The sequence below is a fragment of the Homo sapiens genome, chromosome 10 (assembly GCF_000001405.40).
Source record: "Homo sapiens chromosome 10, GRCh38.p14 Primary Assembly".
NCBI classification, from domain to species: domain Eukaryota; kingdom Metazoa; phylum Chordata; class Mammalia; order Primates; family Hominidae; genus Homo; species Homo sapiens.
The window spans coordinates 21,897,481-21,914,731 of NC_000010.11; the positions used below are offsets into that span (position 1 = coordinate 21,897,481).

Below are 17,251 nucleotides of genomic sequence, written 5' to 3' on the forward strand. Positions count from 1 at the left end.
TGGGCCATGGACTTAGGAACCAGACCGCCTAGCAGGAGGTGAGCGGCAGGAGGACAAGCATTACTGCCTGCGCCCTGCTTCCTGTCAGATCAGCAGTGGCATTAGATTCTCAAGGATCTAAGTTGCACAATCTTTATAAGAATCTAACTACAGTTTCATTACAAAACCATCCCCCACTGCCACCAGGTGCATGGAAAAACTGTCTTCCACGAAATCGTTCCCTGGTGACAAAAAGGTTGGGGACCACTGATGTAAAGCATCTACAAAACACCTACAGCTTACATCATACTTAACGGTGTAATACTAAATGCTTTCCCCTTAAGGTTTGGAATAAGGCAAGGATGCCCACTCCCACCACACTTTGTTGTACATAGTACCAAAATTCTAGCTAGTACTATAAGGCAGGAAAAGGAAATAAAATGCATAGATTGTAAAGGAAGAAGTAAATCTGTCCCCACGGTCAGATGACATAACTGTCTACACAGAAAATCCAAGGAATCTACATTAAAAAATCTTAGCACTAATAAGTAAATTCAGCAAGTTAGCAAAACAAATATCTGCATTCAAAAATCAATTGAATTTCTTACACACAGTGAACATGCGGAAACTGAAATTAAAATCCAACACCATTTATAACCACTCAAAATAAAGAGAAGCAGGTATAAACCTAACAAAACACACACAGGATTTAATTTGCTAACAACTACAAAAGACTGAAGAAATAAATCAATGAAGATATAAATAATTAATGAAGAAACATACTATATTCATAGATTTGGAATACTCAATGGTAAATATATCAATCCTCTCCAAACTGAAATATAATCATGTACCACATTATGATATTTTAGTCAACAATGGTCCACATATATGATGGTGGCCCATAAGATTATAATGGAGCCACTGTAAAGTCATGGCGCAATGCATTACTCATGTGTCGTAGTGATGCTGGTATAAACCCACTGCACTGCCAGTTATATAAAAGTATAGCACATTCAATTGTGCACAGTATATAACACTTGATTATAATAAATAAGCATGTTATTAGGTTATGTATTTACTATACTATACTTTTTTTTTTTTTTTTTCCAGACAGAGTCTTGCTCTTGTTGCCCAGGCTGGAGTGCAATGGCGCGATCTTGGCTCACTGCAACCTCCACCTCCTGGGTTCAAGCAATTCTTGTGCCTCAGCCTCCCAAGTAGCAGGCATTATAGACATGTGCCACCACAGCCAGATAATTTTTGTATTTTTTAGTACATGTATATTTAGTACATGACGAGGTTTTGCCATGTTGGCCAGGCCAGAATATACTATACTTCCTAACATTACTTTAGAGAGTATTCCTTCTACTTACTAAAAAAAAAAAAAAGAAGATGGCTGATTAGAAGCAGCGGCAGTCTACAACGCTCAGAGAGAGGAACAAAAGGGGTGAGTGAATTCAGCACCTTCAACTGAAATATCCCGGTTCTCACATTGGGACTGACTAGGAAAACTACTTGACCCATGGAAAATGAAGAAAAGCGGGGTGGGGTGATGGCCCCCCAGAGAGTGGCATGAAGCTAAAGGAACCCCCAACCCCAGCCAAGGGAAGCAGTGAGTGACTGCAACCACACCTGGGAAACCACACTTCTCTCACATATCTATGCAATCCATCAATCAGGAGATCCCCTCAAGAGCCTATGCCACGAAGTCCTTGGGTACAATACACAGAGCTATGTGGAGTCTTGGCAGAGCAGCCACTGAGGCACACACAGAGGCTGAGAGTTTTACATACTCCAGCCCTGGGATCCCTGGCAAGGCAGGCAATTCATCTGTACATATCCCTAGGAAGGGGGCTGAATCCAGGGAGACAAGCAGCATCATTCTGCAGGCCCCACTTCTATGGCACCTCACGAGTTAAGACCCACTGGGGCTCGGAATTACAGCTGGCCAACAGCAACAGGCTGGAGTCTACCTGAGACAGGACCTGGGGCAAGGGGCAGGTGCCATCTCTGCAATTCAGCAGACTTGGCCATTCCAACCTGCTGGCTTTGGAGTATACAGACAGTCCAAATGAGAAAGGATCCCCCAACAATGCAGCACAGCTGCCTTGCCAAGACTTGCAAGACTGCTTCTTTAAGCGGGACCCCAATTCATTCTTCCTCACTGGGCTGGACCTCCCTGTGGGGGCTTCAGCCACTCCAGCCAGAGTTCTACGAACAGAGCTCTGATCTGTTGAGGACGGGAATGGGATCAGGGACCTACTTGAACAAGCAGTCCGGCTGCCTTTTGGTAGAATAGGTATCCTGCATTGCGGGGGGACCCTTCCTAGTCCAGACTGTTTGGATTCTCCAAAACTGGCAGGCTGGAACTCAAAGCTGAGTCTGCTGAACCGCAGAGGCCACCCCTCTGCCTAGGAGCTTTGTCTCAGAAAGAGATCAGAGCTGGAAACTTTCCAGGACTGGAAGTTGCTGTGGGTGTCAGTGAGTGATTGGTGAGTGAATGTGAAGACCTCGGACATTACTGTGTAACATGGTAGACTTTGTAAACACAGTACACTTAGGCTACACAAAATTTACTTTCAGAAATTTTCTTCAATAGGCTGGGTGCAGCAGCTCACACCTGTAATCCCAACACTTTGAGAGGCCGAGACAGGTGGATCACCTGAGGTCAGGAGTTCGAGACCAGTCTGGACAACATGGTGAAACCCCGTTTCTATTAAAAATACAAAAATTAGCCGGTCATGGTGGTGCACACCCGTAATCCTAGCTACTCGGGAGGCTGAGACAGAAGAATCACTTGAACCTGGGAGGCGGAGGTTGCAGTGAGCCAACATTGCGCCACTGCACTTGAGCCTGGGTGGCAGAGTGAGACTCCATCTCAAAAAAAAAAAGCAAAAGAAAAAAAAAGATAAAGAAATTTGACTAATTAATCTATAGCCATAAACACTTATATATTCAATTGGATAAAAATTTTCTGAATCATTGCCATGGGGAAACTAAGACTGCATTATATTTGTACATACACAGCATTATGATTTGAAATATTAAGGGAATTGTAAATTTATATTTGAGTTGTATGATTTTAAAATTTCACACTTCCATTGGTATTCAAATATCCTAGGATATTATACTGTACCCTAGGTAAAAGTACCTAGGATAAAATACTATATTCTTTAGATATTATCTGCCTACATATAAACTGTTTTGGAACAAGGGCTCCTATTAGATTTTAGGTTTTATAATATGAAATGGCATAAGGTACAGAGATTCTATTAGGTCATGTTTTCAGATATGCTGGAGCTAGTGATCAGTTACATGCCTCCGCATAAGTTATCTCAGAGAGTATATTCCCATCCGTGAGCACCCTATGTTACCACAGGCAAAGTGTTCTAACCTAAACTGCGGCTGCTCTTTCTCAATCTATTTTTCCTTCTTCCCTACCAACCCCTGAATCAACTACTTTCCTCATGAACCTGAGTTTTCTAGAAAATCACTCTTCCTTTAGTCTTAAGGAAGGTGACTAAATTTTCTCATCCTGCCACACTGAAAAGTCACATTCTGTCCCCCCACTTTCTCGCTAAGTGCTTCATCCTACAGGGTGTGTCCCTGAGGCACCCTTACTTCAGTCCCTTTCTGGGGCATGCAACAAGGACCACAAAACAAGAAGAAAAACATAACTAATGTTGGGAACTATTTCTCCATATTTAAATGAAGTACTTGGCAGTAGAGTTTTGATTATTTAATTCTGGTTTTGTTTTAAAATCATAGAAGGTACAAAGAAAGGGGTCAAGGAAATAATCGAGTTTACTTCTATCCTTTCCTTTCCTTGTCTATTCAAATTGTGACCTTTATAATTTCTTTATAAAGTAAGTCAAACATGTCTTTTTCTCATGCGATATGGGCTGTTTTAGTACATAGAATTCTCTTTTATTAATTTAGAATAAAACATATCATTAGAGAATGTGTAAAAAATCATTAACCCTCAAAAGTCTAATATTTATAAGTATTCAACTTATTTAAACCTAAACCACAAAATTGATTAAAAGTTTATAATAAAAAGTGCCCCAAATTTCCCAAATATATATCAACAATTTTTTTACAGAAAGACTTCTCAGAAGGATATTTATTTTTAAGAAATCACCCTTTTCACTGCCCCCCATATCTAAAATGCCATTTTAATAAGACTATCACACCCTACTCAAAGTAGTTCTGGTGCAGCCCTCAGAGAATACTGTACAATCTAAGCAGTAAAGCAGATGAGGGCAGATTAGCAATTAGGTCATGAAAAACAGGCAGCATAAAACAGCTATTGCTAATCTACATGAGATGCATTTACTCAATTAAGTAGATGGAAATGTTATTATGAACTTGATATTCTGATGATGGTCTTTAAAATTAAGAAGGATGGGGCAAATGAAATGCACATTGGGGGATTTGGGGCCTTTATGTATTAATTCTAAAGTATACAATGCAGAATACTGTAATGAAGTTAATAAAATTAATTAAAATATTATTTGCATGTAACCATTAGAGACTATATTAAAAAATACATGACAGTCTGACATTGTTAACAGTAAATGTGACTGTTCTTTAACATTCTTAATGTTGATACCATCACCTTTTCTAAATATACCACTGATAAAAGAAGCATGCAAGATAACAATCTTATTATTCACAGCATAGTATGAGGAATGTTTTTAATATGCTTTCTGGTATTATTCCATTCTGAGTTTCAATAACTGATAAGCTAGTGATGAATTTTCAAATGTTTTACAAGACTGTTACACATTTTCACTTTCAGATATTTATATGTTTTTTAGTTTGTGATTTTTACATAATCAGACAATGACAAAATTAAAAGAGACTTTTTTTTTGAGACGGAGTCTTGCTCTGTCACCCAGGCACGATCTCGACTCACTGCAATGTCTGCCTCCCGGGTTCAGGCGATTCTCCTGCCTCAGCCTCCCGAATAGTGGGGATTATAGGCGCACACCACCATGCCCAGCTAATTTTTGTATTTTTAATAGAGATGGGGTTTCACCATGTTGTCCAGGTGGGTCTCGAACTCCTGACCTCTGGTGATCCGCCTGTCTTGGCCTCCCAAAATGCTGGGATTACAGGTGTGAGCCACTGTGCCCGGCCAAGAGGAGACTATTAAATCTGTTTGAGAATTACATCAAACTCTTAAGCAGAACAAAAGTCATTGGACAATTTTGGAAAAATAGTTAACTCCGAAAGGAGCTTTTGTATAGTGATAAACACTTCATGTTTAACCTAATTTCAAAAGGGGTAGTGTATATACTTAGTCTTGTTACTACTAAATAATTCTAACACATCTACCAAAATTATAATATTTTTTTTAACAAAAAATTACATAGAAATGATAAGCTGTGTCCATGAGAGCAATCAAATGTAGTGTATTCACGTTGCCTCTACAGGTAAATTTTGGACTAATTTTATATTTTTCTTTTTTCTTTTTTTTGAGACAGAGTTTCACTCTTGTCACCCAGGCTGGAGTGCCATGGCGTGATCTTGGCTCACTGCAACCTCCACCTCCCAGGTTCAAGTGATTCTCCTGCCTCAGCTCCCAAGTAGATGGGATTACAGGTGTCCGCCACTATGCCTGGCTAATTTTTGTATTTTTAGTAGAGACGGGGTTTTTATGTTGGCTAGGCTGGTCTCCTGACCTCAGGTGATCCGCCCGCCTCGGCCTCCAAAAGAGCTGGGATTACAGGCGTAAGCCACTGCGCCTGGCCGATATTCTTCTCTTTTCTTATAAATGTAATTTTTCTTCTCCTTGTGATTAGTCTGAAAAGGCTTAGAAATTGTAATCTACCAATTTTTCCTAAAATAACAATTATATAAAAATGACAAGAGTTTCATTTGCACACTCCTACTTTTTAACACATATGTCAACCTTGGCATGTAATAATCCTCTATCATTCTTACTCCTTCTTAACAGAAGTCTACTTTAAACAATTATATAGTTGATCTGAATATTATTTTGTATTTGTAAGTATTGAAGCTTTTTGAATTAAATTATGTGCTTCTTGAGATGGTGTTTTACATGGCTAGGTGCTCAGTGGATGCTCATTAATATTCATGGCATTACATGAATTCATACATCTATCCATTTACTGAACATTTATTATGTGCCAGGACCCTGTTTGATGCTACAGACACAGAGATGAACAGTCTCTGTTCTAAAGCTGTCCAGACACCTGAAGGATTGTGATAGACTGAAAAATGACCCCCTAAAATGACCACACCCAAATCCCTACAACCTGGGACACAACAGTGAACAAAACAGATAAAGTCCTTACCCTCATGGAGCTTACATTCTACTGGGGGTGGGGGGTTGGAAATCAGATGGTAAACAAAACTAATATATAAATTAAAGTAGTATTAAGTGCTTGGAATAAAAATAAAGAAATGCAAAGAGACACAGTATATATGTGTGGGAGCCAAGATGTAGATAAGGCAAAAATAGACAAAAGGACTGCGGCTGAGAAAATACCTTTTTACATAATATGTTCAACTTTTCCTAAAATCAGCAAGAACTGTCTTTGTGTTCAATGGAAGATTTCTTTTCAACATACTGATAATTTATACAAAGTTGTTCATACTATATAACAATATTGCAAATTAAACAAAAACTTTCAAAACAAAAATCATTGGTATTTTCAGGTTTCCTAACTACAACTGTTACACAGAAAGTTGGGTGATTAACTGGTTAAACTAGCACTAAATATCAACTGTAATTATAGTACTGAAGTATTTTAGGGCTTTGCAGACTTTGGATGCCCCTAGATTTGAGGAGTTACATGACTCAAGCTGATTTTATCCTTCCTTCTGATATCAAACTTTGGGTGGTAAAGTAATGCTATAATGTAGGATGTTCCATGTCAAATACATTAAGTACAAGTGACTCCACTAGGGAGTGGGAAAAAAAAAAAAAGAAAACCAGAAAATTTAATTACTGCTGAATTTAAAAGATAATTCACATTTAAATAATTAATTTTATATGACATTGTTAAAACACTAATGTTTAAAACTCACTTTGAAGTGTTTCAAGTTCAGTTCTAGTCAGTGCATCTTCCTTTTCCTTCAATCTTGTTTCTTTATATTTAGCATAAAACTGCCCAGCATCCTTAAGAAAAAAAGTTATACATAAATTAACATAAAAATCAGTGTGCTTCAATAATATTTTCCATGTAACTTAACTTTAAAGCATTATATTCATTTTATAAGTAGGCTTTCTTTTTGTTTTCAAATTTTATGATGAGCAGAAATTAAACATTTCTCTATGATTTTTCTCTCCTGGAGAGCCAGTTACAATGAGAAATTTTATGAGTATAATTTTAAACTATTTTTTCTCTCAGATATGGAAAGGAGGTATCCTCTTCCTGTTTTCTTCCATTGTATGCTATTTTCATAATATACTGTTGCATATACAGAGAGCAGAAAAACTCATTTGCTGAACTGATTTGGCACAGTAAATTATATTACTGTGACTAACAAAGTACTACTGCTATTTTCATATTAGCCCTTTAACTACAATAGATATTCAAAATTATCTTCAAATCTGATTATAAAACTTATACGAGCATGTATATAAAAGTGAAAGGTGCCACTCCTCCTTTTACCACCCTTAGAGACGAGTATAAAAACCATTACCATGAAGTCTTGAGGATTGAGGACTGAGGACACATACTGCATACATATACTTAGGTGTCAAGATACAGTGACTGAAGTCTCAATGAGTGGCACACAGGTAAGGCTTTAGTGGTGTACCAAAAAAAAAAAAAACCTAGGTCTTAAATAATGACATACATAAAAATAAACAAGCTGATGCTCTAGGCATATGAGATCCCGACAATGAAAATAAGCAAAACAGATCTTTTACCACACTCCTTGGCTCAAACCTCAGATAGTCTATAGGAATACCACTTGTATTAACAGCTGCCAGCCCACACTGTGCTTCCATGTCTGTGCAATTGCTTTGCCCTCTGGCTACAATATTGTACTTCCCTGGCATTATTCTGATGAACTCTTATTAATCCCTGAAAACCCATTCAAGCCCCATCTCCTTTGCAAGTTTTTCTGACCTTCTCTGGCAGTGTAATTCTCCCTTGTACACTACTTCTATATTTAAACATGTCTATAACTGCTTGTATCATGTTATATTCTCTTCCAGATGAGAAATTGAGAAAGGGATACTTACATGCCCAGAGCACAGTATCTGCCATAAAGCAGGTACTCAATAAGTATTTACCGAATTGAACTAGACTGAAATATGTGAGAAACCTAATAAAGCAAGAAATGAAGGGGCCTGATGACTAACTAAGGTGAAATAAGAAAAAGAAGGGTTTCAAGAATAACTCTAGGGTAACATTCTCAGACCATAAGATTCCTAGAGCAGATAAATCATAGACCCATCTGAGAGAGCTTTATTTCTGCAAGAAATAAAGGAACAAAATCTTTGACACTACTTTGACTCAGATGTAAATACATAAATACTTAAACCCTAGAAACTCTTTTCGTCTACGACTGTGTCCAAATTAAAGCTTTTTCCTGGGGGTCTGTGTCTCTTGGGGTTCTATCAGAACTCTTCCACCTAATAAGAATTTGGTATTCCTAAAATCATTGAATCAATACAATACAGATGTATTGTTAATATAGTAAAAGATCTCTTAATTCTTTTCATCCCCACTTTTATGTTCCTACCTCATTTCTATGAGGATTCACACAAGCCCTAGGCCAGGTAAACAATGGTACTACTAGAAGAGCACAGATGGCCATGCAACCAACTTACTCATCCTCCCATGCCCATATATAGTTTAAGTTTCAACAGGGTTTTGGGTTAAGGTTTTATAGCCCTTAACATTCCCCACCCCCCTTAAAAAAAGTCAACCCTAAAGAAGTATTATTTTATATTAAGCCATATGAGTCATTTATACCTTGGTGTGAATGAATGAATGAGCTTATTAGCTTCTTTCCACAGAGTAGGTTTTAATAGTAGGGAAGAAGAAAAGGTCAGGAAGGCATTGGCTCCTTGAGGGGAGTAGGAAATGTGGCACATGCAAGAAAAGAAGGGCACAGATTAGTTATTTATGAGAGGTAAAAGAAAGTAGGCTGAAATCAATCATCACAGTATAGCACAGTGAAATATGGTGATTAAGAGGACAGATTTGGAGCCAGACTATCTGAATTAAGAACTCAGCTCTGCCATCTTACTAGCTATGTGACATTCAGAAAATTATTTTACTTCTCTGTGGGTCCATTTTCTCATTCATAAAATGGGGATAACAAAAGTACCTAACTTATAGGACTGTTATGAAGATTAAATGTGTTAATACCTGGGAAACAGTTAGAATGATATCTTCTACACAGTTAGGCCTTATATGTATGTTAGCTATTTTTATTATTACTTCTACCAATTTGACAAGGATCTTGTTTTCCAACACAAAGGATGAGTTTTGTGCTTCATACTTCACCAAAATTCCCCTGCCAAATCCTGTATCTTCTTGCTTATGTGACCTTTTTAATTGCATCCTTCTCACTTCATTTTGCTGTATAATAGCAACCTCTCCCTAGTAGTCCTGCCAAATTTGAACATTTTCCCTGTTAATGTTTCTTCTTCCTGCTATGGGACATAATCCCACTAAAACTTCCTCTTTGAAATACACATTTAATCCAAATCCTCACTTATCTGAGGACTGCAATCCACCCAATCACCCTAACCTACTCTACTTAATCTGAGACTTTCATTACATTCCCTAGTTTCAGTCACTATTTTTATCTTCCTTTTGCTCCATTTCTAAGCATTTATTTAAACATTCCTCATGTTTTTTTTTTTTCATATCTTACCTATGCTTTGAAATCAAATTACAATATGCCCACTCCAGGAAACATTACTTCCTTAACAATCTATGAACTCAAGCAATTCTACTTTACTAAACAACTCTACATTGTTTCAACCATCCCTGTGTATAGTTTGGGGTATCACACTTTAAGATGCACTGACAAATAGAAAGACTTTAAAAGGAAAGTGATTAAATAGGGAGGCAGCTTGAAACTCTATTTTTATAAGGGATTAGAGATAAGAAGACTGGGGATAACTTCATAACTACCATACAATATCTCAAGGTTTATTACAGGCAAGAATGTTGTAAACTACTGCATATGATTCCAGAGATGAAAGTTTTGACTTTGGATCAATATGAGGAAGAAGCCAGGTGTGGTGGCTCACACCTGCAATCCTAGCACTTCGGGAAGCCCAGGTGGGCGGATCACTTGAGGGCAGGAGTTCAAGACTAGCCTGGCCAACATGGTGAAGCCCCATGTGTACTAAAAATACAAAAAATTAGCCAGGTGTGGTGGCAGGCACCTGTAATCCCCGCTACTCAGGAGGCTGAGGCAAGAGAATTGCTTGAACCTGGGAGGTGGAGGTTGCAGTGAGCCAAGATCACACCACTGAACTCCAGCATGGGCCACAGAGTGAGACTCTGTCTGAAATATATGAAATATATATGAAATATATTATATATAATAATATATATAAATATATAATATAATATAATATATAAATATATATAATATAATATACATAAATATATATTATATATAAAATATATATAATATATAAAATATATATATAATATATAATATATAAAAATATATAATATATAATATATAAAAATATATAATATATAATATATAAAAATATATATTATATATATAAAATATATATTATATATAATATATATAAAATATATATAATATAGAGAAAATATATATATATATTTTATATATATATATATATAAGAATTTCCTAATAATTAAAATTACCTGAAAATGAAATCGGCTGATTTTGGAGATAGTATTCAAGAAGAAACCACGTGGCTATTCTTTAAGGTATGTTCTAAGGTATGGCTATTCTGTAAGGTATGCTTTTGAATCCAAGCATTCAAAAGAGGATGAATAAGATAAATTGTTTTCAACCTTTTTTCCCTCCCATTTTTCATGGGGGGGGGGTGAATTCAAGTGAATAAAATTATAATAAAATCGTTTAATGGGAAAAATAAGCACAAAAACTTATTTGGGTCCAGAGTAAACTCCAGTTTACCTACACAGAAAGTTAGATTTCCTGGGGATATAAACTTCTAATCCATCCTTATAGCCCTAGTACACTGCCTGGCACTTACAGAAGCTTAATAAATATTTAATGAATAATTAAATGCTTACTTCAATTGATTAGGGCTCTGAACTGCCTGCCTCATAATACTGTATTAAAATTATGGAGTTTACATTTTTCCAAACAGAAAGAACTCCTATTCTCAAGGAGTTTATAATCCTTATGAATGGAACCATGAGCAAAAGTTTTTATTCTAGAAGCAACTGTATTAGTACTTAAAATTTCTTTCTTTTTTTTTTTCCCCAAGACAGAGTCTCGCTGTGTCGCCCAGGCTGGAGTGCAGTGACATGATCTCAGCTCACTGCAACCTCCGCCTCCCGGGTTTAAGCAATTATCCCTGCCTCAGCCTCCCAAGTAGCTGGGATAACAGGTGCCCACCACCACGTCTGGCTAATTTTTGTATTTTTTAGTAGAGACGGGGTTTTGCCATGTTGGCCAGGCTGGTCTTGAACTCCTGGCCTCAGGTGATCTGCCTGCTTCGGCCTCCCAAAGTGCTGGGATTACAGGCGTAAGCCACCGCCCCTGGCCAATATTTAAGATTTCCTGAAGAGCTCAAAACCTGCCTTCATAGACATCAAACAGGGGACAGGTTTTACATTTAAACTATGGCTAACTTAAATAATGTATGAGTGTTCTTTGTACGTAATTATAGAGCATAGGCTCCTGCACAAGAAGACATTAAACAGGGATATTTATGCTTATTTATTGAACCATTATTATATGTATTGTACATTATTAGGATATGTGGTGATTATATAAGATACAACAGTTTCCCTTAAGGAATATGTAAAAATAACTATAAATATTAACTAAAATATGGAATATAGAATATAAGCTCTGTGAGAACAGGAATTGTTGTCTTTCACCCCCTACCCCTGCCCCGGCACAAAGTAAATAATGCAATCAATAAATAAAGTTTGTTGAATGAATTACTGGCAAAGAAAGTGGTGCTCACTCAACATTCTGTTTCCCTATATTCCGCTGTCCTCTTAAGATTAGGTGGGGTCAGAAGACTAGTTCTGGATGGGCTGTGGATGGAAATATCATGTGTCATTTCCAAACCAACTCACAGAAAAACTCATGCAAATCCTCCAGCTCTCTCCTCTTGTCATAATGAGCAAGGAGGCCACATGTTCCAGATGGATACAGCTAAGAAGGTGGTGAACACATCATTGCTCTGAGCTCCTGAATGGTTAGGTAGACCAGAATGCCCACTTTCCTATCAACCAGTGACAGACATGAGGCATATGCCAGAAACAGACTAAGGTCTATCAGTCTACCGTGATTAATACAAATAGTAAATGCTGTAAAGTTAGTATGGAGAACATACAATGAGAATTTTTCAGTTGGCCTGATGAAGGAAGGCTTCATAATGATGATAATTTAGTTAAGCCTGAAGATACAATATTTCCAAGATTAGTAAGCTGTGAGATAGGGAATATCCTTACATTAAACCTTTTTTTTTTTTCTTTTTCAGATGGAGTCTTGCTCTGTCACCCAGGCTGGAGTGGAGAGGCAAGATCTCGGCTCACTGCAACCTCCACCTTCTGGGTTCAAGCGATTCTCCTGCCTCAGTCTCCCAAATAGCTGGGACTACAGGTGCCTGCCACCACACTCGGCTAATATTTATATTTTTAGTAAGACGGCGTTTCACAATGTTGTCCAGGCTGGTCTCGAACTCTTGATCTCTGGTGATCCGCCCACCTTGGCCTCCCAAAGTGCTGGTGTGAGCCACCGCACCCGGACACCCTTTAACATTCTTGACATAGTTCATTAAGTGATAAGAGAACATGCTAAGGTGGCACTGTTTATAATGTTTTGGTTCACTTTTATCTCTCCATATAAACATCAACATATTAAGCAATCCAAAGAAAAGCTTAAGAAACAAGGGCATTAAACTAACAGAAAACCAAACACTGCATGTTCTCACTCATAAGTGGGAGCTGAAAAATGAGAATACGTGGACACAAGAAGGGGAATAACACACATCAGGGCCTGTGGTGGGGTGGGAAGAGGGTGAGCTTCAGGATAAATAGCTAATAATGCATATGGGGCTTAATACCTAGGTGATGGGTATTAAGCAAACCACCATGGCACACGTTTCCCTATGTAACAAACCTGTAAATTCTGCACATGTAGCCCAGAACAAGAAAAGAAAGGAAAGAAAGGAAGGAGAGGAGAGGAGAGGAGAGGAGAGGAGAGGAGAGGAGAGGAGAGGAGAGGAGGAAGGAAAGGAAGGAAAGAAAAGGAAGAAAGAAAGAGAGAGATGGAGAGAGAGAAAGAGACAAAGAAGAGAGAGAGAAAGAAAGAGGGGGGGAAGAGAGAAAGAGGGAGAGAGGGAGAAAGAAAGAGAAAGAGAAAAAGAGAAAGAAAGAGAGAGAAAGGAAGGAAGGAAGGAAGGAAGGAAGGAAGGAAGGAAGGAAGGAAGGCGGGAAGGCGGGAAGGCGGGCAGGCGGGGCAGGCATTGATTTACAGTGGTAGGGGGAGGGAAATACCACCTGTCCTGATGGGAATAAGGAACGTGGAAGAGCTATGAGGAAGGATACCTAGAAACAATATAGAGGATGTTCTATTTCTTTTTCATTGTTTGATAGCCCAAATCTTCTCTTTCGTTTGAGGCTTAGAAATAACCTTCAATGTAGGAAAATACCATAAGTACATTTCTGAAAATCTGCCCACAAAATCAAATGCTCTATATTGTTTTGTTCTCCCATTGACTTATACTATAATCTCAGAATTACATATAATATGCAATAAAATTACAATGAAAAATATAGAAAAACTGTAAAATTGTACATTTTGATAAGAGTCAAAATTTCTGTACAGAACTATAATAAGACTAAATCCACAAAAAGTAATAAAAATAAAACAGAAAACCAGAAGCTACTGTCTTCCTCTGGTCTGAGACTGTAATATTCAAGGAGATGCACAGCCTAAAAACTATTTTTTCCATTTGTTCCAAGAGATAGAAGAGACTGTAGAAGCCATTTATTCAGCCCTAACTCAATGTAAGAATCCTACAACTTATGTCCTACAGATGTCCCCAACTTAATGATGGTTTAACAGAACAACTTTTCCATTTTATGATGGTGAGATAGTGATATGCATTCAGTAGAAACCATACTTCCAGGGTCTATATAATCATTCTGTTTGTTTTTTCTTTCAGTACAGTATTCAGTAAATTACATGGGATATTCAGCGCTTTTTAAAAATAAAATAGGCTTTGTATTAGATTATTTTACCCAACTGTGGGCTAAACGTAAGTGTTCTGAGCGTGTTTAAGGTAGGCTAGGCTAAGCTATGAGTTTCCGGAGGTTAGGTATATTTAATGTATTTGCAACTTAGGGTATTTTCTCCTTATGATGGGCTTATCAGGATGCAATCGATAAGTTGAGGAAAATGTGTAATTATAATCAGCCTGAACATTCTGACAGGGAGTTTAAGATTACACAGCTTATACTATAAAGTTCTAGTTATCGACCTGGGGCGAAATTTATTCTTTTTTAGTTTTTATTTTTCTTATGTATTTTTTTCTTATATTTTAATATTTATTTTCATCTGCTTTCAGTTTCATTTCTACCATTAACTAGTTGTGTCACTTTGGGGAAATTGTTTCACCAATTTGAGTCTTAAGTATTTTCATCTATAAAATATGGAATTGATGAGACTATATGTTGCTAACATCCTACCTAACATTTTGTGGCTTTTTATCTTTTCTACATCTAGCAATAACTTACAAAACTCTATAGTCTGTCTTTGGATCTCTGAGTACTTGCATAAGATGCAAGGATTTACTTTCAGAGGGTGGAAGTAAGGAATCTCTGTCTTATGTTGTAAGGTCATTCCAGTTTGCCTGTATCCCTTTGTCCTGTAGCAGTAGTTTCAGCTTATAAAAATTCAGATGAACTTCTCCATCTATTTTCATTTGTTTATGTATTTCCTGTGTCAGGTTTCTGTATGTGTGTGTGTCTGAAAAGTTTTAAAAAGTTTTAGAGTATTAAAAGCAAGCTGCCTCATCCCTTGGAAAATCTGTTTAACTCTAAGTAGAAGGGCAGGCGACTCAGCTTGAAACAAATGCCTCATAGCCTTTTAGAAGCTTTTTTTCCTGCTAATTAGCTGTGAATGTTCTGTTTGTTTGGTTTCTGACAGAGTCCTAGCAAGCAGAAGCGAAGGGGCTAGAAAGGAAGGGCCCTAATTGTCAGGGAGGGTGACCTCCAGGCTTGTCCACAGTTGTAGTCTCCATGGGAGAAGCAGCTTCTTGGGAGGGAGGATGCTTCCATTTATAGACAGTTGTATAAAGTATAGTACTCCCTTTACTCTTAGGCAACTTTTTTTTTTTTTTTTTAGGTAAAAGCCAGAGCTGTACAGAGAAGATTCCTCTATTTTCTCAGCCACTACTCCTAGGCAACCTATACATCCTGATGGGGGTGGGGATATGCATGCTGGAAACTTCCTATGACAATTTTTATTTGACTGGTGTTCTTGTTAGATCTGTTAGTAATGAGAAAAGATGGGACTGGAACTTAAAAAGGTAAAAAATTTACAACTTTAGGCAATGCACAACCAAATGAGTTTTATATTTTATAAATTATGCTACCGAGAAATGTAATATATGAGTCAGAGAGAAACTTGAATGGTGAATTCCTAGAAAAATCAAACAAATTCTCAAGCAAATTAAGTTCTGACTGCTGAAGACCTGTTTGATCTCAGAAAATGCAGAGAACTGTGTCTATGATTTAGACTGGTAATCACTTGGGATATGTGGCACTTCCTGATTTTATGAGAGAAACTGATGGTCTGAACAATCTAAATTATTATGGGCCCAAATATTTAAGGTTCTGAAACAGTTGCGAAAATAAACTAAGTTATAACAGCTAAATTGAAAATATGCACAGAGCACTGATTATATGTCACCAACTACTTGCTATTTTCCAGGTTACAGAACATATAATCAATTTAAAAATACCCAAGAAGGGCATTTTGGAGGTTACAAAAATTTCCTGGGGTTACAAGCCGAACACAACCAACAAAGAAGATTGGTTTTTGTCAGATTCCAAGAGAATGTGTACTTTCTTCAAACCCACCAGGAGAGCAGAAACAGACTGGTAAGATGTCAAAGTGTCACGGGAGCTATATTTTAAATGTTACAATTAAATTCTTGCCTCAAAGGATTTAAGCCCTCTGTTGATATAGTCCAAGTTCCTTGTTATATACTAACTCATACCCACATCTTCTGGGGATCACTCTACTTGCTTTGTTAGCTATCTCAACACACTTCCTGAAGCTCCCCCTGCTTCCTTGTATGTAGTCATCCATTTCACTCCTCTCCAGTGTTCTCTCATCTCTCTAAACACACACACACCAGCCTTCCATTCATTCATCAATTTACAAACACCATATTCTTTTCCTGTAATTTCTCACTTGACTTTTACCTTTTCTGCCTATGTAGATTACATGGGGCGTACATTTGACTAAATATAGAAATATCCATGCATCTTGTCCTTGAATACTGACCCACTTGGGAAATGTCTGATATTAATTTAATATTATCAAATATTTAACATCCACTAAGTATAATAGCTTTTCACTGTTTGGCTTTGTTCTTCTATCACTTCTTATAATTCTCCCAATATCCTTCTCAGAGCAAAGGAAAGGAACAAAATCCAGTGCTCTGGAGGTAATAAGGACCTTTACAAAGAAGCAAGGGGAACTATCAAAGAGATACTTTTACCTCTATCTTGCCTAATCACAGAACCACTTCATTTATTTTCTGCTGATTTCACAGTCCTTATGTACTTTATTTCTACCATTCCTAACAATGTACACAGATCTTTCACAGATGTGTGTGTAATCAAAGAAACACTTTGTTGTCTTATCAGTTAACTTTATTCTGTCTAAATATTCTTTTTAGACTTGTCATATCAGATTTACCTGTTATAATATAAATTCCTAAATAGATATACTCAGAATCTACAGACCTGGAATACAGTCTGAGAAGACAGTAATGGGCTGCATGATACCCTCTTTAAAAAAAGGCTGTTGTATAATGTTTTCCTTAGGATGCTTTTAGCC

The 17,251-nt window shown here is 37.3% G+C and overlaps 1 protein-coding gene across 4 annotated transcripts in view; it reads right to left on the minus strand.

Annotated features, from left to right (window-relative positions):
- The window catches only part of DNAJC1 (DnaJ heat shock protein family (Hsp40) member C1), a 247,183-nt gene that overhangs the window by 140,933 nt on the left and 88,999 nt on the right, over positions 1-17,251 (minus strand). For all 4 annotated transcript variants that reach the window (NM_022365.4, XM_011519614.4, XM_047425628.1 and 1 more), the window contains exon 7: positions 7,042-7,132. In NM_022365.4, coding sequence (NP_071760.2) covers positions 7,042-7,132 — 91 coding nt within the window. The remainder of the gene's footprint in view (positions 1-7,041; positions 7,133-17,251) is intronic.